At 40.0% G+C, this 23,462-nt stretch overlaps 1 protein-coding gene across 10 annotated transcripts in view; it reads right to left on the bottom strand.

The window, feature by feature from the left end:
* The window catches only part of MME (membrane metalloendopeptidase), a 159,528-nt gene that overhangs the window by 68,809 nt on the left and 67,257 nt on the right, over positions 1-23,462 (bottom strand). The gene's annotated exons all lie outside the window — the stretch shown is intronic.

Raw genomic sequence — 23,462 nt, 5'->3', positions numbered from 1 at the left:
TATTGCTCCCTTTTGATTGCATCAATTTGTCGGATGCTCCGTTTTCTTTTTTATATAAGTCAATTCAGGGGGATGAGGAATACTATCTGTGTATAGTTCTCTTTTCCTTCACTATAGTTGGTTCGTTTTATTTTGAACTGTGTGGGTCCTTCCACCCTGGGTCCCACAGCCTTCCCACCCCACCCCTGAATAACTAAGTTTCTGGCTAGTTCCTATCTCAGAAGAACAAAGAATAGAGGTCTACTTTGAGTTGGCCATCCTGCACCTGAGGTTAGCATGCCATTCTTCACTCTGATAACTTTAGTTGCCAACTCTGCTCTTCAAAGTGCTGTGACTTTTGAAAGTCTCTGAGACTCCAAGCCATGGAAGATTGTTAATGAATTTTTATCATTTTAGAAAAGATCTGAAGACACTGTTATTACTTCCTGGACCTTGCTCAAATAAATTTTGTAATTCAAATTTGACATCCAATTTGCATTTGTTTATATAGAGTCTGTCATTATAAAACTGGCTGTAAGCTTATTAGTTTTTCTTAGGTCCACTTTTATCTTTCAGGACTATGATGAAAATGCAAATCAACCAACACTGAGTATTTACAATCAAGACGTTGACTCTGGTAGGAGCTGCAATTGATAGAAAGATGTATAAAATAGGAATTATTACCAACGAAGAGGAGAATATGGCCCAATACCCATAATGTCTATACCCGGAACAGAGAAAATTCTGCTCCTGCCCTCCCCACTTTGAGTCTCATACAAGTTGAACTGTTTTGCAATGAAAACAAAAGAGCAATTGAGAATTCATCTGTATCAAGAGAATATAAGCTCTCAGATGAGCTTTTGAAAATACTTCACTTTATGAATTAATTAATTAATTAAAAACTTCAAACAATTGCTGAGCTGTGTGGATTTTTTAAACTTGGTATGGTAAACATGGTTTCCAGCTGAGCCTCAAGCCCCCCCATTGAACCACTTTTTTGGCATGTTTGCTTGTCTGGAACCTCAGGACCCAGCTCTTTAAAACAAAACGCTCAGGACTGTTACCAAACCAGTCATCTCATGAGTTGTATGCCTTAGTATACAGCACAGTTGCTATCATAGCCTCCTGGATTTGAAACTTTGGGTAAAACTGTATTTCTATTTCCCCTTGGTTTACTGGTAATTCCTTTGCCCCTCTTCCATACCTCTCATTCTGATTGGTACCTGGTTTATATCATCATTCCTTTTTGACTAGAAGTCACCCAGTTCTTCATCTTGATATATTCTACACATCTTCCACAAACCAAACTTCCCGAAAGACTCTTTGACACTGGCCACAACCTTGCTGAAAAATGTCAGTGGCTTGACATTTCCCAGGTTAAATTATAAAAGCTTGGCAGGGCACAGTGGCTCACGCCTGTAATTCCAGCACTTTGGGAGTCCAATACCAGCCTGGCCAACATGATGAAACACCAACTCTACTAAAAATACAAAAATTAGCTGCCCATGGTGGCAGGCACCTGTAGTCCCAGCTACTCAGGAGGCTAAAGCAGGAGAATAGCTTGAACTCGGGAGGTGGAGGTTGCAGTGAACCAAGACAGCGCCACTGCACTCCAGCCTGGGTGACAGAGAGAGACTATCTCAGAAATAAAAATAAAATCTTTAGCTTGGTGTCTAAACCTTTACCAGAATAAACGTATCACCCTACCTTCCCCTTTTCCTCTTTTGGTGGTTTATGCAAACTCTGTTCCAACCAGATGGCCCTCGTCAATGTGTCACAAACACTCCTTGTGTTTTCTTAGTCCTGTGTCTTTGCTTTAACCTCCTCATCCCACAGCTTTGATTGCCCCTGTCATTCTTTCCAAATTCTACCCATCATTCAACATTCAGCTCATGTTCCATCTCTTCCCTGATGCTTCTGTGACTCCAAACTTCAAGGAATATTTCTCTTGACTCCTGAGAGCTCATTGCCTCACTCTGTCTTCAATGTGAGACTACTTTGAGTTTTTCATTGTAAATACCTACTCTGTCTACCTAACCATTTTGTTGATGTGATTAATCTCTTTGTATCACCTAGCACCTAGGTAACAGGGGTGCAATTATGGTTATGTGTGACTGAATCATCTATGAGTCTTCTTACCACCTTCTCTTACAGCCCATCACTCACCTCCTCTCCCCTTGCCACAGAGGTCAGATCCGTTCTCAGTTCATTGCCTCCAGAGTCCATTCCATCTTTCCCATTGTTTCCATTCTGTCTCAAACCCTCTTTCTCTCAGACTCTATTTGTGCCCTTTTGACAAAGTTGTGGCCCCAGGCCTCTTCTTACCTATGTCCATTCTGTACTCCACAGGCAGATTCATATTCTCAAAATACTTCAGAATGTCATTTTCCACTCCAAAGTTTTCAATACCATCCTTTTGCAATCATAATAAAATCCAGATTCCATAGCACATTCTAACACTAATAGAACGAATGAAGCTTCTCCTTTGCTACTTTCTCGCATGAGCCATCTGTCACAGTTAAATGAGTATATTCAGTTTCTGTGAGACACCTTATGGTTTTCTGCCTCTGTAACTTTGAGCATGTTACCCAGCCCCTATACGTACTAATAAATATTATTTCATATTATTTCATTTTGGAATTTCAGGCATTTTCAAAGCCCATTCCAAATACTTCTTTATGAAAGACTGGCCTGACAAAAGTCTGTATCAGCTCACAACATATTCATTTTTCGCATGCAAATTCATTATCTCCTCACCTGGACTGTGGCTCTGTGAAAATAGAAAATGCATATTCTCTCTCACAGAGCCTAACACTGTGCTCAGTCAAGACTTGCCAGTAAAAACTCCAACTTTAACACCTCAGTTAAAGACTAGGAAACTGATCTAAAAAAGGTAGAGAGAAAAAGCAATTCCCTCGAATTTTGAAGGAAATAAAAATATGGTAACGGGAAAGGTGAAAAATAAAGATCCTAAATACATAGAGGATTATTATGTAAAGTGAAAAACCAGAAAACTAGAGCCTGAAAGAAGTGCTAACTACAGACATTCTAAGAACACACTTAGCAATATATAACTCTTCTCTTTTAAGATACTTAAAAACATTTAAACTGAATGTTGTGAAGGCTATGCCATTTGGAGGGGGCACTTCTGTTTTCTTCCTCTTTCTGGGGAAATGAAAGCTTCTGTCACGACATCACAGAGCAATGAACTCTACTCAGAAAAGTAGTGAACAATTAATGAACAAGCAGAATGAACAAGCAGAGCATGAACAAGCCCTACTGCCTATTTGGAAATACCACCGGTCCTTAAACACTCTGAATAAAAAGGATGGCTGGAAGTTTCAGTTCTCTGATCATGAGTGCAAATTCTCCATCCTGTAAAAGCAACTGTACTTCCCACATCTCCCAGGGGGCAAAAAGTACAGTTAAATTACTTGCATCTGCACAACAAACCAAAGAAATAACATTCAGTTTGTGAGGGATGTGCAGAGCAGAGAGAGGAAGAGGCAACTTTGCTAACTCCTTCCAGGGCCACTCTTTAAAATTTCCCTTTGACCACCGAGCTTGTCTGAGCATGGATGCATCCAATCACTTCAAAGAGCGCTCTCTGTTCTGATGAATATTTTGGGGCCATGGGCCAAGGCAAGTCACGGGCTAGCACTTTTATGCTGGGTCTTTGATCAACCTTCCTTTAATCTCTTATCGTGGGTTTGATTCTCGTTTTGCACCTTATCCTCTGGACCTCCTCTGTGCTGACTTTTCTTTGAAGTCAGCGGTAGACTTGTGGGTAGAAGGCCGTAGGAAACAGACGTACAACTGTCAAACTGGTCGTAATTGTTTTTATGTTTTGTACTTTGTTTTGAATTACTCAACCTCTCCACATAGCCACACCTGGGCTCTTCAGATGTTTCCTTATCTGTGGATCTCTGACATCTGAGTAAACAAATGTGGTTTAAAATCAGACTAAATTGTTCACCTTAATAAGCAGATATAAAAAATAATGTAGTAAAGGCAAATGTATTGACATGGAATGTTGTTGACCAGATATTGTAAAGTGAAAGAGCATATACTATGATTTTTTAAAATCTGTATAAAAGCACAGAAAATCTAGAAGGATATATACTAACATATTTACAGCAGTTAGATCTGGGCGGAGGGATTAAGAGTGTGTTTAATTTTGTATTATTTGCTTACCTTTATTTTCCAATTTGTATTAGATGAACATGCATTACTTTTGCAGTAAGGGAAAAAAGTTATTTTTAATTTAAGAAAATGGTCACACAAAGACAAGAGAAGTAATCTTCTATTAATAATGAGCTTATTTCTTACAAATGACAATTCTGAATGTTTCGAGCTGATAATAAATGACACCATTTTCTTTCTAACTAATCTTCTTGTAACATTCTCCCAACTTATTTGACTATAGGAATTTAAAAGCAAGTTCAACTACCATCTGGGAAGTTATTAATTACTGTATTCCTCACTGAAAAGTCTATTGTGTGTGTATGGATTGGGAGATGTAGTATACGCTGGGAAAAACGTTTGGGCTCTTTTAACCCAGACAGACCAGTTCTGAATCCCAGAGCTCCACCACTTTTTAGCTGTACAAGATTAAGTAATTTTTCCAAGATCAAGCAGCTAGTAAATTATGGGGCCCCAAGGCTTGCACTTAAGCATGTATGGCTCTGAGCCCACACTCTTCCCTCCCTGCTTTGAATGCAGAAGGCTGGTGGGGAGCACGTGAGAAGCAGCACCTTGCAGGGCCCTCCTTTCCAGTCCTTTTCAAGTACCCTTTTACTCTTCCTTTGTCCTGTCTTCTCCTTTACTTACTCTCTTTCCTGCCACTCTGCAGCCACAGCCTCTCCACTGTCGGACTTATCACCAACAATTCTTGTTGGGACAAAGGCAGGACAATGTACAGCTTGAGGACTTGGAGAGTCCGCGGATGAATTTTTTATAGTGGAGTAACCAGACAGGGAAGTGGCATGGAGGCCACGCTAGGTGGATGCACTCAAAGGCCCATGCAGGGGTGCATCTTTTTGAAGTGGCCATGTAGCAGGGTTCCTGCCTAAGCTATCTTTGGAGCACATTGGAAAATGGAGTGTGAAAAATCTCAGAAATATGTTTTAGGACAGTACTTGTCAACCCTGGCTAAACATGTGAATCATCTGAGAAGCCTTTTAGACACACGGATGCCCAGAATTCTACTCCTGATCAATTCAGTCAGAATCTTTGGAGGGGGTCCAGACATTTTTTTAAGGTTTTCTAGAGTGGGTCTAATGTGCAGTCAGGGGGAACCACCACATTAGACAATCGAGAAACATAGAAATGAGGACCAACAGATCCAATATCAAAAAAGTATAGTCCCATACTTACTTGAATCAGGAATATTTCCTTTTGCCTTTTCAGTCTGCAAATGCAAATGGGCTTACATCATGGCAACCTATGTTTTGCAGTGACTTCAGTCCCTTATAATTGGCTGGTAAAGTGTTGCACGGAACCTCACATGTGTCTCATGCATAAGCCCACGACCCCAAGGCTTCCACTCTGCTCCACTGACTTTAGCCTCCACAGCCTCCTACCCAGACACCACCCATGATCCAGTTCCCGCTGGGTGCTGAAGCTGGATGATGCAGGGAAAATACCTCCCTTCCTCATCTTTCATTGTCTCAAGTCTTGAGGAGGGCTCTTGTGCCTATAGGTAAACAGGTCTCTTGAATTTCACCCCCCATGGCCTCCTCTCTCAAGAACCACAAGCACCAACAGGCCTGGTTTTGGAGTGATTATAATAGCAAAAACTATACTATATTCAAAATCACTTCTCTCTTCTGATGGCCAAGAAACATTTTTGTTGATATCTCATGAGGCTCATAGGCCTCTCAGAAGAAACTTGAGGCACAGCATTCCATTGGTCTGCTAGACACGATTAGACATGGTGAAATTCCAGTTACACGGGACCCCCACTACATGTCTCCCTTAAGAAGACGCAACCTTAAGTCTGCCTTTGAATGGCCTCCAAGCCACAAGATCTCCCCTTTCTTATCTGGATGCCTTGCTTTCCAACATTACCAATAGTTTGCTAACTGAAAATAGGATTTTGGGCACTATACACAACAACTATCTTAATATTTATATATGTGCATTCCCTGGAGGCTTGTTTTCTGGTGGAGGGGGGAGGGTTTAAAGGAATTTCTACATTTTCAAGTGCTCCTGGGTACTTGTCAATAAAACAGGGTAAAGTTGACATAAATATGATAGTCACAAACAGCAAATGAACAAAATAGATAGCATAAAGTTTTGTGCTGTAGTACTATTATATGGGTTTAATTTGTTTTTTTTTTTTTTGAGATGAAGTCTCACTCTTGTCCCCCAGGCTGCAGTGCAATGGCGCGATATCTGCTCACTGCAACCTCTGCCTCCCGGGTTCAAGCGATTCTCCTGCCTCAGCCTCCCAAGTAGCTGGGATTACAGGCACCCGCCACCATGCTTGGCTAATTTTTGTGTTTTCAGTAGAGACGGGGTTTCCCCATGTTGGCCAGGCTGATCTCGAACTCCTGACCTCAGGTAATCCACCCGCCTCGGCCTCCCAAAGTGCTGGGATTACAGGCAAGAGCCACCACACCCGGCCCAGTTTAATTTTTTTAATGTTCATCATTACTTAGCAGGTCTTTGATGGTTTCCCATATGAATTATTTCACAGGAATTAAAAAACAAGTGTGGTTTATTCTAGTTATTTATATGAGTTTTGTTCTATATAAAGTCCCTACTACACTGAATTAGTGAATACTGAATCATTGACCCTAGGGGAAATACAAGGTTAGGTTCCTGTGGGCTTCTGGACACACAGATGATTAATACATAGCCTTGTTTTATGTGTGTTTCTGTTTAAAGACACCTTATTTAATATATTTTGTTGATGCACTAACATTTAACTCACACCAACAGCACTATAACTGATGCCTGAACGATGTTTATCCATTGCTCATATTTTCTCTGTAAGGCATATCACAGCCTTCTTGTGCTTCAAAACACTACATAGCACTTCCACACTATGGTTGTGGAGCATTTTAACAGTGAAATCATCATTAAAAAGCACAAAAATGCAAAAAACGTTGACTAAATGGACTACAAAAAGGATCCTTGTCTATAGTTCCCTTGTTCAATCTCAGCTGAGTACATGTGTGTAGAAAGACTCAAAGTTTTTTCACCAGTCTGTGCATGTCTGTAAATGACTGTGAGAGAGCTGCAAATAGTGATTTGGGGGTAATAAATACATTTTAGGGAGTAGGTGAATTAGCAAACAGAGAATCCACAAATAATGAGTAATGACTGTGCTTATATTCCTCTTTTCTTTGGGTCTTTTTGAAGCATCTAGAAAAATGTACAAAACAGGAAAGAAAATTAAGTGGGAAAAAGATACAAACCATTTCTTTCTCAATTACTACTCTATTTTAAAAACTCTTGGTCACTATAAATTAGCCACGTTTTAAATAGGTTAGGCATCTATTTACAACATACATACCACATATATACCCCCAGTGCCATGACAAAATTCCTCCGTTGACTATTCCTTTTTTTTTTTTTTTTTTGAGACAGAGTCTCATTCTGTTGCCTAGGCTGGAGTGCAATGGCACGATCTCGGCTCACTGCAACCTCCACCTCCCAGGTTCAAGCAATTCTCCTGCCTCAGCCTCCCAAGTAGCTGGGATTACAGGCACCCACTGCCACGCCAGGCTAATTTTTGTATTTTAGTAGAGACGGGGTTTCACCATGTTGGCCAGGCTGGTCTCAAACTCCTGACCTCGTGATCCACCCGCCTCAGTCTCCCAAAGTGCTGGGATTATAGGCATGAGCCACCACGCCCGGTCCCTCCATTGACTATTCTTAATCTGCACTGAATTAATGTTTAGGGAATGGTATATGAACAAAGCTGTTTTCAGCTTGTTGTCTTCAAATTGCCTAAGCTCTCAGCTTCCTAACCCCAAACACACAACACCAGTATCCTAACATCATTATAATTAGCCTGATTTATAACTGTTCTAGAATTGTCCAACAGAGGTCAGAGAAATGTTGGGGAACCCAGGAGCAAATGCTCTTTTGTAAAGACCTTAGGACACCCATTTCTGACCGAACCTTCTGTTGTAAATCCTTGCTTTATTAGCAGACACTAAGCTTGATATTACTTCTAGGCAATTTTTGACAATTTAAAAATCTCTTTTGACAACATTCTAAAAGTACAAGTGACCCTATTCCCTTGCTGCCACCCTCCTCCCACCATCCCCCCAACCACAATTCAGAGAAAGTCAGAACTTTTTAAAAGAACACAAGGAAAATGCAATGTAATCACAACGGGTCACAAAGGATTCAATTCAAAAGGCAGCAATGTGAAAACTGGAATCTGGGGAACCATTTTTGAAGAGAAAATGACTGAAAACTAGCAAGCACGTAGACTCTAATGCTAATAAAAACCAAATGGCTTTCATTACAAACACTCAGGATGCTTCCACAATCCACTCTCCATTTTTAAATGAAAATGCCTGCCCCCAAATTGCTTTTGTGATGCCTTGGTTGAAGAAAGATGGAGAGTGGGGGATACCAGATGCTGAGTGTAAACTGGACTGCTAGTTTATCATTTAACTCAAACACTCCCTGTCAACCACTGGTTACGTTCCAAGAAAGCCAAGGTCATGACTTATACTTGTCTAATTGGTGAGTACCATGAAACCATCACTATACAACTGTTCAGAAACTAGCTGCAGACTTACACAAATAGATATGAAAGAAGTTTCCAAGCATAGTGAATTTACTCTGTACAGCTGTACTCTTAAGTAAGGAGACCTATTTTTGCTGTTCTAGTTTGGGGAGTAATTAGTTTATAACTATATTTCATATATACATGTGACTAATTTATCTTAAATCCATAGGTCTTATACATACAACAAATATGCATACACACACGTAGGCACAAGCATATGAATAATCAACCTAGAATCCATTTGCTATCAGATAAATTCACTATCAGATTTAAATATACAATGTAAATTATAGGATTTTCATTTAGGTTTAGCCAAAGACGCTTAAATGTAATAATAATAATAACAATAGAAGCCAACACTTGACATATGTCAAACGCCAAGTGCCAACTTCATGATGGCTGTTTTTTAAATGCTTTCTTTAATGTTTGTTTTCTTTTAACCTTGTATGGTAACTATATTTGTGTCCCCATTTTCCAAATATAGAAATTGACGGTAAGTGATTTGTGCCCAAGTTCACATAGTTGGCAAAGGATAATGCAGTGGGTTTGAACTCAAGAAACCTGGTGGCCAGCGTCTGGGATCTTATACTATGTGAAACTGCCTTGGGTTCTAATCATTTTTCTTCCTTAGAACTGCTTTATAAAGTAGGACATATTACTCCTATTTTAAGAAAATCTAGGTATGGGGTGGTTACAAACTCAACGTCACCAATGTAAATTTAAGGAATTCAACTAAAGCTGAGCCTAGGTCTAATTTTAAGCTGATGCTTTTTCCACAGTATCATTCTGCCTTAACTCCAAATGACATTTAAAAATTTTCAGAAACTCTACAGAGAGGCAGAGGAACCCAAATTAAGTTATAGAGCAACCACTGCTTTTCTTGACACCCAATTAAAATATTAATTGCTCTATAACATGTATATAGTCATATAAAATTTTTCCACCTCATTTGGACCTGGATTTTAGAACTCATTGAGATAATCACAGAAATCTCATGTCTAATGGATTCACAATAATAAACTTCAGTTGGCACTCCCGAAATTAGTGAAATTCTTCAGTCTTATCTCATAGTCCATTTCAATGAATGGCTCACAGCCAAGGGAGGACTGGCAATTATTTTCCAGTAGGGATTCCTCCAGAATTCGCAACCGAAACATATTCTATTAATAATAATAATAATAAAAAGTATTCTAACTGTGTTACAGTTAAGTTAAAGTGCCATAAGTCTAAAAATAATTTTTCTTTTTCAGGTGCAATTTGCATTTTGAATCCTGAAAGACTCTGCTGGCAAAAAGCTATTAGGGATTATACTGTAATTTAAATACAATATATCACTTAAAATGAGTTATCAGATCTGCTGTTGATTGTAATGTTAGCAAATGATGATAATGTTCCTTTTTTAAACTAAAGCTATAGAAGGTCATGAAAAGGCTACATTGTTCCCTTAGTAACACTCTTCAGGTAGATCCCAAGTTCCCTGGACCCTGGCAGACATCTCTGAAGAGGGAGCAATGGGGGTCCACACCCATGTTCCTTCTGTTTAAACATTGTGTTATTTTGGATCATATTGTCTGTCAAGAATAACCAGCTGACTTCAATAATATGTGATTACTGAGAGTAACTCAAAGCATCCTGCCTTTGCATCAATTTTGGTTAGGGAGTGGTACAAAAAGACAACAGCCAGAGGAAAGCTGAGTCGACAGTGCTTCTCGAATGCTGCCTAAAATGAAATCAAATTCTAAAAAGGCTCTTTTCTAGAGAGCACTAATAAATTTAGTAACTATTAATAAACCAAACATTTGATTGGCACAAGGCAGTATTTGGCTCCATATGTTTATATTTTTTACGGATTAAATAGCTATTTTCTGTCATAGAAGATCCAGAAGATTATGTTAAATCATTGGCTTTCTCCAAAAGATTTTCTTCTTGTGAAGCATGAAAAGACTGAAACTTTTCATTTAATTTCAACAAATATTGACGGCCTCTATATACCCGACACTCTTAGGAACTGAACATACCATGGTGTGATAAACAGACATAATCCCTGCCCTCACAGAGCTTGCAGGGTTTCATCTTAAACAAGACCATTTCTTTTATAATGCACGTGAACTCCTAGATGGTAACTATATCTAGATATGAAAGGTTGTTTTGTGATGCTCAGGTCTCATTTTCAATTCTCAAACTTACTCAGTGTTCAGTTGACAAGTAAAGCTCCTACTGTATTCAGTTGATAAGTAAAGCTCCTCCTAACCTAGAGGTAAGGAGTCTCTTGTAATGTCCTTCCATAAGTGAGTTTATGCATGTATGCGTGAGCTGGCTAGGAATTTGAATTTGTGTGTTATGAATGAAGTGAGCAGGGACAGAGGAGTTTTAGAGGATGGTGGTTGTTGAAGAACAGCAACACTTAGCTAAATAATGGTGTTCAAGAGAAGAAGAACACAGAGTGTTAAAAGAGAGAAGAAATAAATTATTGAGAAGGGAGGAATTCAGAACAAACCACAGTTGGAAAAGAAAAACCAGACTGATAGAGACTTTGCTCCTAGAGAGCTGGAAATGCTTACACCCAAGTAGAAAATTAGTTGAAATTTTCCCTTAAACAGAAAAATAGTGGGAAATAGAAACACATCCGGAAACTGTTTCCTCATTAACCTAGTTCTAGCTTAGGAGGGTAGAATTAGCAAGGTGAATTAGACAACTGAGAAGAGCGTAATTGACTTTATTGCTAGCAAAGAAGATGGATCAGATAGAAAGGGGCTAAACCTAGGAGGCTTGATACAGAAATACTGAACTGAGAAATCTGACATAAGCAGGACCTAGCTAGACTGAAAACGTTTCCTTGAGGCAGCTATATTTGTGTATTAGGTATGCTTACAAGTCACCTTGCATAGGCATCAATAGTTTTGTGACTTCAAGGTAAGGAACCTGAGAGTATATTTATTCAATCAATATTTATTGGTAACTTACACATTGCTGGGTGCTAGAAATAGAATAATGAATAAAATAGAAACAGTCAAAACTTACATTTTAGTGGACAAAAACCAGACATTGAACAACTAATAACAAGTGGGATATGAGTTATAGGTAAAGCGTATAGGATGCTCTGGGAATGAAGGGGGAGCTACCAGTTGAAGGTAGAGGAGAGAGGGCAATTCATTCATTCCGTTGGCCATTCAACAAATATTTGAGTCAGGTTCTGAGCTGTGTCCCAGGCAGTGAAAGTAGGTGACGTTTTTGACAAAAGAGGCAACCGAAAGAGGACTGACATGCAGAGTGACTCTCTGCCGGTGTGGACAGGTAGGCTACCCTCTGAAGAAGGGATAAAGGAGGAAGAGGTAGCTCTCAAGGTTTCGGCATGCTGGGAGCCCTGCCTGTTGTTGACTGGTGGGAGCAGAGGCCTGGTCTTTGTCACCCTGCCCAGTGAAGGGGAGGGAAATGATCATGGGAAAGAGACCTCATTCTTGCTGAGGTAGCAAGAAACAGCAGCCTTGCCCTAGAAGCCCTCATCATGGGCATCTCATGAGAACAGCTTTACTTTTATTACAAGCTGTCTTTATGGTTCTGGCTGGTCGCAAAGTTCTAAATCATCTTGTTAACACATGCCCTGCCAAGTTGACTTATGCTTTCTCAAGCCCAAGTGAGAGCAAGTTCTTTCCATGAATCCAGGAAGGGCTCTTGTGGACTGCAAAATGGATGACCATGTGGTTAGGTGAGGGGATGAAGCCTCAGATCAACAGTGCAATGAGTTATCAGATCGGTATGATATGCACAATTTTTGAGAAATGACTCAAAGGGTATTTCAAGGTAATCCATAGAATACAAAAGCAATAATTTTAAGTATACCCCCACCCAGGGAAAGGATTCTAATTCCTACGCCTAGCACAATGACTAGCCCATAATGGACACTCCAAAAGGATCCTTCATTCTCAATTAATTACACCTTCTTATAGTAAATCATCACCATCTGCTATTTGTAAACTAAAACCTGCATATGCACTGTATCGGAATCTTAAAACATTCTGATACTAGCTTCTTTTTCCTGTTACTATCCCTGAATAAAAAATGACTTTTATTGCTCATTTTAAAGTCATGTAGGCAGGATCTAAAATTTTTTTAACTTTTAATATATAATTAGATTTCCTTTTACTAAATAAACAAAACAAAAGACCAATTCCCCCCTCCTAATAGGTGTGATGGCTGATAGGTGAAGGACAAGCAGGATCCTTCGCTGTCTGTGTTGGCATACAAAATCAGTGAAGGTGCTCCTTCCTCAGTAAATGAAGAAACATTTTTTTTCCATGTAAAACATTCATCATTCACATAAACTGGGCTCTGGTAGAAGTGGTTTGACTAGCCCAGTGAGACTGAATCCCGGTTTAGTTAAACTATAAAGGACCATCAACAGAAGAAGTTCTCAGCTACAAGCAACAGAAATAAGTCACACAGGGAGGGCACCCACGGCAGCTGTGAGGAGGGAGCTATAACCAGCAGATGGTGTGTGTTGATCCAAGGAAACTTCAGTTCTCCGTGGTCTGGCAAAAGGTCATGAGGTTAAGAGCTAAGCTAGATTTCAGTCCCAGAAGACAGAAAAGAAAAAAAGAAACTCATTTTCCAGAAGTGGGGAATGAGCCAGGAGTGAAATCCCTATGGGAGAAGGCAGAAACCCATTTACTAGAGCTGGGGTCAGAGGCAGATCACCAAGAGTAGGGCTGACTGGAAGTGGAATGTTTGAGCTACTGACCTTGGCCCCAGTGAGTGCCTGGGCCTGGAATGGGACTGATCCTACAGCTGGAGTTCCATATGGTACTCAACCAATTTGTCAACTTTTCAAAGCTTCCCACTTCTTTGTTTTCACTTTATTACCATAGTTGATATGCACCATGCAAAATGTATTAGGCTGTTCTTGCAATGCCATAAAGAAATGCCTGAGACTGAGTAATTTATAAAGAAAAGAGGTTTAATTGGCTCATGGCTCTGCAGGCTGTACAGGAAGCATAACACCAGCATCTGCTTTTTGGGAGGCCTCAGGGAGCTTTTACTTATGAGAGAACGTGAAGGAGGAGCAGGCATCTCACGTGGCAAGAACGGGAGGAAGAGAGTGGGTGGGGGGGTTCCACACACTTATAAGCAACCAGATCTCATGAAAACTCACTCACTATTGCAAAGACAGGGCCAAGTCATTAGGGATCTGCCCCCATGATCCAAATACCTCCCACCAGGCCCCACCTCCAACACTGAGGATTAATTCAACATGAGATTTGGGCGAGGACAAATATCCAAGCTACATCAAAAAGTTTCATAGCACCAATTGCTACTAAGTTATTTATTTATTTATTGAAGATGGGGTCTTGCCACATTGCCCAGGCTAATCTCCAACTCCTGGGCTCAAGTGATCCTGCTGCCTCAGCCTCCTGAGTAGCTGGACTACAGGTGTGTGCCACAGCACTCAGCTCTACTATTTTATAGTAGCTATTAAAATATTCATATTTGCATGATATGAGTTTCTTTAAGGTGACTTTCAAGGTTTCATGTGCATCATTTCTTCTCAACATATTGTCAGATCCTTGCTAGACTATTATCTACAGTGCTTTGAGTAATTCATAGTTGAGTTAATGATTGTGGGTACACTGCATCACAATACTATTTGTATATTTGATTCACTCAAACATTATTAAAATTATTTCTCTGAGGAATCACCACACTGTCTTCCACAATGGCTGAACTAGTTTACACTCCCACCAACAGTGTAAAAGTGTTCCTATTTCTCCACATCCTCTCCAGCACCTGTTGTTTCTTGACTTTTTAATGATCGCCATTCTAACTGGTGTGAGATGATATCTCATTGTGGTTTTGATTTGCATTTCTCTGATGGCCAGTGATGATGAGCATTTTTTCATGTGTCTGTCGGATGCATAAATGTCTTCTTTTGAGAAGTGTCTGTTCATATCCTTTGCCCACTTTTTGATGGGGTTGCTTGTTTTTTTCTTGTAAATTTGTTGGAGTTCTTTGTAGATTCTGAATACTAGCCCTTTGTCAGATGAGTAAATTGCAAAACTTTTCTCCCATTCTGTAGGTTGCCTGTTCACTCTGATGGTAGTTTCTTTTGCTGCGCAGAAGCTCTTTAGTTTAATTAGATCCCATTTGTCAATTTTGGCTTTTGTGGCCATTGCTTTTGGTGTTTTAGACATGAAGTCCTTGCCCATGCCTATGTCCTGAATGGTATTGCCTCGGTTTTCTTGAACTAGAAATACCATTTGACCCAGCCATCCCATTACTGGGTATATACCCAAAGGAATATAAATCATGCTGCTATAAAGACACATGCACATGTATGTTTATTGCAGCACTACTCACAATAGCAAAGACTTGGAACCAACCCAAATGTCCAACAATGATAGACTGGATTAAGAAAATGTGGCACATATACACCATGGAATACTATGCAGCCATAAAAAGGATGAGTTCATGTCCTTTGTAGGGACATGGATGAAGCTGGAAACCATCATTCTCGGCAAACTATCGCAAGGACACACTCCTTGAGTCAAGCAGTTTCTTTTTTATGAAGCTGTGTTGTCAGGAGCTCCACCATTTAATACTTGGCTTGCTTGTTTTTACTTAAGCATCAAGAACAGAGAAACAAATCCGCTGCTGGCTATTGGGTACCTGCTCAATTACTTCAATTTAACTTCGCAATCATCTAGTCTAGTCTACACAGTGGACCAACTCCCTTTTCATTAGCTTCACGGTGAAGGCACTGTAGTTGGACTCCTCTGGATTGAAGAAATGTAAGATTAAAGGAAGATTATACCGCTGAGAAATGTTTAAACAGAACATATTGTTTTAAGATAAGAACTCATTGATTCATTTTGAGTTTTTATCTAGGATAGTGAAAAGATAAAAATGAGTAAAAATGAATTCATTTGTAATTGTATCAAATGGAATCCCACACTATATGCCAGACAGGTGGCCCTCCAGCACCTCTTCTTATTAGTTGCTGCTTACCCTTTTGAGTGATAATTACATATGACAACACGTGTACTGAAAATACTAATCCATATGAACTAATCCCATCAGGTGGCATATCCCTCCACCTTGCCCCAACATGGAAAAGCAAAACTAGTTTTCTGTTATCACTTGGTGCAATAGCCAAATCCTTACTGTCCACTCTGCTTATTTAAGCTTCTGCCAGTCAACCATCCCCGCCTCACCTACTTTATCTCTGTCTTCTACTGACTCCAGAGGCATTCATCTCTGCTTGTTTAAGACTCTGGCACTTTGTGCAGTCTGCCCTTCCACATAAGTTCTACCATCTTGATATGTAACATCAGAGACCCTGTGGACAACCTCTGCTACACTCTAGCTTAAGAATTTCTTGACCATCTGAACTCTCCTAACTTTCACCTTCACTTCACATTAGTCTACACATTTTCATGACGACATCTTAATGTTCTCATCACCCAGAACAGTTGTACCTCTGAAATCTTCATCTCGAGTAACCCCCCTCTCCAATAAGAATCTTCTGATTCTTAGAAGTGTTTTTTGTTTGTTTGTTTGTTTCATTTCTTTATTCCCTCTACACCTGTTCCTCGACTTCACTGAAAACTCTCACCCCATGGCCACTCTTTTTTTTTTTTGAGACAGAATCTCACTCTGCCGCCCAGGCCGGAGTGCAGTGGTGCGATCTTGGCTCATTGCAACCTCCACCTCCTGGGTTCAAGTGATACTCCTGCCTCAGCCTCCCGAGTAGCTGGGACTACAGGCGGGCACCACCACGCCCAGCTAATTTTTTTGTATTTTTAGTAGAGATGGGGTTTCACCACGTTGGCCAGGATGGTCTTGATCTCCTGACCTGGTGATTCGCCTGCCTTGGCCTCCCAAAGTGCTGGGATTACAGCCGTGAGCCACTGCGCCCAGCCAGCCACTCTATTTTTTACTTTACTTTTCTTTTATATCTTCTGTCCAGTGTACATCCTGTGGTGCCATCCCTGAAACCATCATCTCACCAAAGTATTTCATTCCCTTGCCCCCTGCAAATGAGCCTACCCTGAATTGATCCAGCTGCCTTCCTTTTCCCTTCCAACTCTAGTCTATCTAATAATGTTTTTTTATATGTGTGTGTGTTTATTTACTGTCTCCTTTACTGCTGTAAGCTCCTGTAAGCAGGGACATTGTGTTGCTCACTCTGCGTTTAGGTGCTAAGTATCCTTAGCATCTAAAACAGTGCTGACAATATCTGTTGAAGCCATTATCGGTGATGCTGGAGAAACCCCACAACTGCCTGGTTTAATGCCATTTCAAGTTATAGCCTTCCATTTCAACAGAGCCATCAGTTCTGTGTGCATGGCCCACTCCTCACATGGACACTTTCCAGTCTTCATACTCTCCTTACTTACTTTCTCTACCAGCTCACTCCCAGGCGGAGATTTTTGTTTGTTACTTCACAAAGGCAACTGGATGATGACCCATTCAACTTCCTGTCCCTCCTAGCTTCCAAACATGTTTGCATTTCAGCCATCTTGGCTTCTTTCTCCCTAGTATTAAATAAAAGGGGGAGGAGGAGGCCATCCTTTATCTCGGAATCATCCTATATTCTTTTCTCTGGATATACATCCTCTTTTACTTCCTCTGGACAAAATCCATCAATTTTCCACCTGATCTTCACCTGAATCTTCAATGTCTTCCTTTCTGCTTTCAACATTTAGCCTACTCAACCTCTCAGCTGTGCTTAATTCCAATGATCACTCTCTAATTTTGGACAGCTGCTCCTCCATTTGCTTTGGTGATTTTACACTTCGCTGATTTTCCTTCTACCTCTCTGATTACTTCTCGGTTTCTTTTGGAGTTTCTTCCTCTTCTCATTTTTAAATGTTGCTTTATGTGATGCAATTCTGGGTTCTCTTCTCCATTTCCTCCCTAAGAAATCTCAACCATATCATCCACATGCTGATGACCCCCGAATCTTTATTTCCAACACCATCTTCCCTGAATTCTACCACATCGAATATGTACCAGTATCTCAAATTTAAACTATCTCACAGTGAACTCTTCACTGCATTGGTCCCAGCCTATTACCCAATAAGCTCTGCTTCAGTGCTCCCTAGCTTGGTGAACAGCTGACTTATCACCCAATTTACCAAGCCAGAAACTTGAGTTACCTTTTCCTCACTTCCTTTTCACAACCTCACCTATTTACAGAAACATTGTGCCTTATGAATTCTACTTCCCAGTAAATATTTCTCAAATCTGTCCATTTCTTAGCCTGGGCAACATGGTGAAACTCCATCTCTACAGAAAATTACAAAACTTAACGGGGTGTGGTGGTGCATGCCTGTAATCCCAGCTACTCAGGAGGCTGAGGTGGGAGGATCGCCTGAGTCTGGGGAAGTTGAGGCTACAGTGAGCTGTGATTGTGCCATTGAACTCCAGCCTGGGTGACAGAGTGAGACCCTGTCTCAAAACAAACAAACAAACAAACAACAGCAACAACAATAAAAACTGTTGCCATTCAAATCCAGGCAACCATAATACTCATCCAAATAAGTGCAGTAGCCCAATTTCCTGCCCACAGCCATTCTTTATTTCTATTCAGTGATCTTTCTCAATAATTCTGATAAAGTCATGCGTCATTTAAAACCCTTCCTTCTGTGACCTCCCACCGCTACTAGAAGGAAGTGCATTCACTTTAACACAGACTACAAAATCCAATTCCTGCTTATTTCTTTTGCCAATAGTGAACACTTCTCCTTGCCTCCACTCTCATATCTTCATACACACCCTCTATGATAGCCTTACAGATATTCTTTCAGTTTCTCAATATTGCCAAGCTCTCTCACACACCAGGGGCACCAAAATGTTATTCCTTTGTTTGGGTAAATCTTTGCCTCCACTTTACCAGGCTTGAGCTAGACAGCAGCCAATCTTGACAATGTCACACATCCCTATTTAAAATCCCTTAGATGTCCCCTGCGGCATTTTAATTTTATTCATTTTCTGTAGACTTCGGGAGATAATGCAACCCATTTATCATGGCATATAAGACCCTGTGTGACCTGGGCCCTGGTTACTTCTCTAGTATCAAGTCTTGCTAGCTTCTACATCCCAGCCATCATGAACCACTAGTAGGTCCTAAACTTCCTGAGCTCTTGCCTCCATCTTGCATACAGACTATGCACATGCTCTCCTCTGCTCCCACTGGTTGGGCAATTCAATTATCCTTCAGAACTTAGCTGGTGAAGTGCGACTGCTTTCCCGGCCTCATTGCTATCACTTTAGCTGCCCACTCCCAGACCCGCTCTGGTTTAGGTGCTCCTCTCTCAGGGCACCTGTAGCACACAAATCTTATCACCATCATAGCACTTATCAAACCATATGGTAATGTTGTTTATGTCTGTCACACTGACCAGGTTTTCATTTTCCTGACGGCAGGGGGTATTTTAGTTCATATTTCCAATGTCTAGTGTTCAATGTTTAGAAGCTGCTTGATTAATGCTTTTGTGGAAAAAAAAATGAATGCCAGGTATGGTGGCATGTGCCTGTTGTTCTAGCTGCTTGGGAGGCTGAGGCGTGTGGATTGCTTGAGCCCAAGAGGTTGAGGTCAACCTGGGCAACATAAGGAGACCCTGCCTCTAAAAAAAATAAAAAATAAAATTAATTAACTAATGAATAGATAAATCAATAAATGAATGAATGGAAGAGGCAAAAAGTTGTTCTAATGTCTCTACAGAAATAGCATGCCTGCATTACACTGGGGAAATTTAGGAAGATATTCCAGGTTCAGCTTGTCCACGATAAGCAGAAAATCAGGCTCAGTGTCTCTCCTCTCTGACTTAAAGTCTTCACTCCTCTCTAACTTAAAGTCTTCACTGAGCACACAGTCTGAAATTGAACCTGTTAAAGCAATCAGTTGGTCAATATGTACCTTCTTTTAAAAATGCAAATATCCAGGCAATTCCTATACCCCTTAACATCTATTCATTTACTTAAATTGCTTTTCCTCCTAACACATAACAGAAACTACTCCACTGAAGAAATGGAAACTTTGTGTGCCCAGGAAGAATGGAAGGTTTAGTAGTATGGGTACATTTCAAAAGCTTCCCAAATCATTGTAATAAGCAGCCATATTTGAAAATCACTATTCCTCAGTGCTTCTCAACCTTATTTTGCAGATCACCTGAAGAGGCTACTGAAAGTGCAGCCACAGATTCAGTAGGTCTGAGGCGGAGCCCGAGACTGCATTTTTGCACATTCTCAGTGGCTGCTGCTGTTGTTGGTCCATGGACCACGCATTGAATACCAAGGATCTAGTCATTCTCCTGATGCAGACCTCTGACTTACTTACTTCAAGGGATTAATCAGAGGTGAGAAAAGGGGTACTGGCAAGGGTGAGTGCAGATTAGCTAGGTTTACAAACTAAGGTGTCCCTGATGGTAGGCTTTTCTTTACAGGAAACACAGATTCAAGTGTTCATTTCTGATTGTGCTCATTCTAATTGATTCAAAGCCTGAACTGTCACCCCCATACTAAGACAGAGCACAGCAATCAAATCAAATGTTGTTCATAAAGGATGACACATTTTTATTTGAGAATATGTAAAATGTACCACATTCTCTTTTTTCTTTCTCTCTGTTTCTGGCTACAACTTCCTCTTTAAAAATACACTGTTCGCCTTTTGATTTGATTTTTATTTGATTCTCAATAAAAAATTTTAAATAGTGCATTTGCAATTTTCATGAAATAAGATGTCTATGAATCCTATCTGTGCATTATACCTATGGTGCATCTCCCTGAAGGGCGTGTAACATGAAATAGGCTGTCGTTAGTCTTTGCTGTTTCCCTGTAAAATGAGACACTTTCAATTCCAATTTTGTAGATAATGAAAATGAAATGCAGAAAGCTGAACTGACTTAATTAGGATCTCATACCAATCACACAGGATGTGGCCAAAACTTACATCCCAGATCTCCCATGCTAAAAGTTGGCTTAGTGGAAAAAGAAGCAGTAAGCTTCCAAAAATTGTGCCTCCGTTACTCATAACACTTGCATCTCTTTGAAATAAAGTTTATAATTTAACAGCCCTTCTCCTGCACATATCAGTTGTTGGAATTTATATTCTATTCATCTGATTATTAACCTACATTCTTCCTAAAATAATTCAAAGTGGCCTTAGAGGGATACATAAAATAAACTAATATACATTGTATGAGAAAGAAAAGAGGAATAGGAATAAAGCTGATGAAGCAAGTTTATACAAAGAAGTCCTACAATTTCAAGTTAAATTCAAATTTGGTTCTTGACTTTTTCTTTTTTCTTTTTTTCAATCTTTTTTTTTTTTTTTTAGACAGAGTCTCACTCTGTCGCCCAGGCTGGAGTGCAGTGGCAAGATCTCAGCTCACTGCAAACTCCACCTCCTGGGTTCAAGCAATTCTTGTGCCTCAGCCTCCCGAGTAGCTGGAATTACAGGCGTCCACCACCATGCCCAGATAGTTTTTGTATTTTTAGTAGAGGCAGAGTTTCACCATCTTGGCCAGGCTGGTCTTGAACTCCTGACCTCGTGAGCCACCTGCCTCGGCCTCCCAAAGTGCTGGGATTATAGACGTGAGCCAAAACGCCCGTCCTGGCTCTTGACTTTCTATCAGTTAAGGTGAAAAGGAAAACATCTCGCAGCACCTGTGTGAAAAACCAACACATTTTTCCAGAAGCAGGAACTGCTAACTGCTCTGTGGTAGACCAAGTGGTCTGGCTTTGATCCAGATGGCTGGTACACCTGGACACATATGTCTTTGACTTCCTCTGTAAGTGAAACCCCAGGGGGTGAAAACAGGACTTCCAACACCTAATCCTGAAATAATTTTAACTTCCCAGTTGATTTACTATTTCCAGAGACTTTTCGTCAATATATTGCTAATATAATTAAATAATAGAGGCTCACTCAAACTAAAAAGCTTGAGTTTATTTAGTGAAGATTTGAAAACTACATTGAAAACTACATATAATCATTTAAACTGCAAAAATGGAGCTCAATGGACTCAACATACAATAGCAAGCATAAGATCAAAACATGAGATAACTATGTAAAAATGGACATTGGAGAGATGGGGGAAAGAATGAAGGTGAATTTTTGTTTGCTTTTTTTTTTTTAACGGCTTTGGGTTATTAATTTGTATACCATAAAATTCACCCGATTAATTTTTGGTAAATTTACACAGTTGTGCAACCATCACCACAATCCAATTTACACTTGATCTTTAGCCAAAAAGCTGAGAATTTGTCACAGTCCAATTTTAGAACACTTCCATTACCCCAAGAAGTCCCCTTATGCCCATTTGCAGCCAATCCCTGCTTCATCTCCAGCCTCAGGCAACCAATATTTGTCTTCTGCCCCTATAGTTTTGCTTCTTATAGAAATTTCATATAAATTGAATTTTACAATATGCAGTTTGTGTCTGGCTTATTTCACTCAGCATAATGTTTTTGATGTTTATCTACACCATTGCACATAACAGTAGTTTGCTCCTTTTTATTGCTGTGTGGTATCGTAGTTTATAGCTATATGGCATTTTGTTTATTCACCTGTTAATACATATTTGGGATATTTCCATATTTTGGCTTTTATAAATTATTTATAAAAACAGCATTATGCTGTAATGAAGTCCTTGTGAGGATATGTGTTTTCATTTATTTTAAGTAACACCTAGGAGTAGAATTGCTGGGTTGTATGGAAAGTATATATTTAACATTTTGTAAAAATTATCAAACTGTTTTTCAAAATGTTTCTAACATGTTGATCCAGATGTACTAAAATTTACATTCCCACCATTAATGTATGATGGTTCAGTTTCTCCGCATCCTCACTCACAGTTGGAACTATCTTTTTCACTGTAGCCTGTGGTGGTTAATTTTAGGTATCAGCTTGACCAGGTTAAGAGATATCCAGATAGCTGATAAAGCATTATTTCTAAAGCATTATTTCTGGGTGCATCCGTGAGGATGTTTATGGAAAAGAGTGGCATTTGAATCAGTGGACTGAGTAGAGAAGATCCACACTCTACCACCATTGTGGCTGAGCATCATCCAATCTGTTGAGGGCCTAGATAAAACAAGAGGCAGAGGGAGGGGAAATCCTCTGTTTCTTCTGGAACTGGGACATCCACCTTCTCCTGTTCTTAGACATCAGAACTCCAGGTTCTTGGGCCTTTGGATACTGAGACTTTATATACATATACCATTGGTTCTGTTCTCTGGAGAAGGCCTGACTAATATGTGGCCCATCTAGGATGTTTTGAACAGAAAGAACGTATTCTAGTTTTCAGCTGGTTCAGAAATAGGATCAAAACAAGCCACCACTGGCCCCCGACAAAATCTCCTTTTCTGAATGGTCTTAAAGAATGAAAATTTACAGGATTCAAAAGCTTGTGCAACATTCTCCTTATGGTTTTTTAAATTGCGTATTTTTCAATTTCCTTCAATTAATCTGTTTTATCAACTTGAGCTTCATATCATATCAAAGGCTTACCAGAAAGCACCTTGCTACCCCATGGATTTGCTTATGAGTAGGACAAAACAGGATCCTTCAACTACAGAGGAATCTTTCTATATCTCTTATTCTAAAATGTTAAATGTCAAACCAGGATTCTCACCCCAGTCTAAGCTAGTTTGTATCCACCCCCTCTACATGTAGATAATTTCTGTAGCTATAAAATAAACCTTTGGAGTACCACTTAGCTTACCAGGC

The sequence above is a fragment of the Homo sapiens genome, chromosome 3 (assembly GCF_000001405.40).
Source record: "Homo sapiens chromosome 3, GRCh38.p14 Primary Assembly".
NCBI lineage: Eukaryota > Metazoa > Chordata > Mammalia > Primates > Hominidae > Homo > Homo sapiens.
This window is presented reverse-complemented; position numbering and strand designations above follow the sequence as displayed.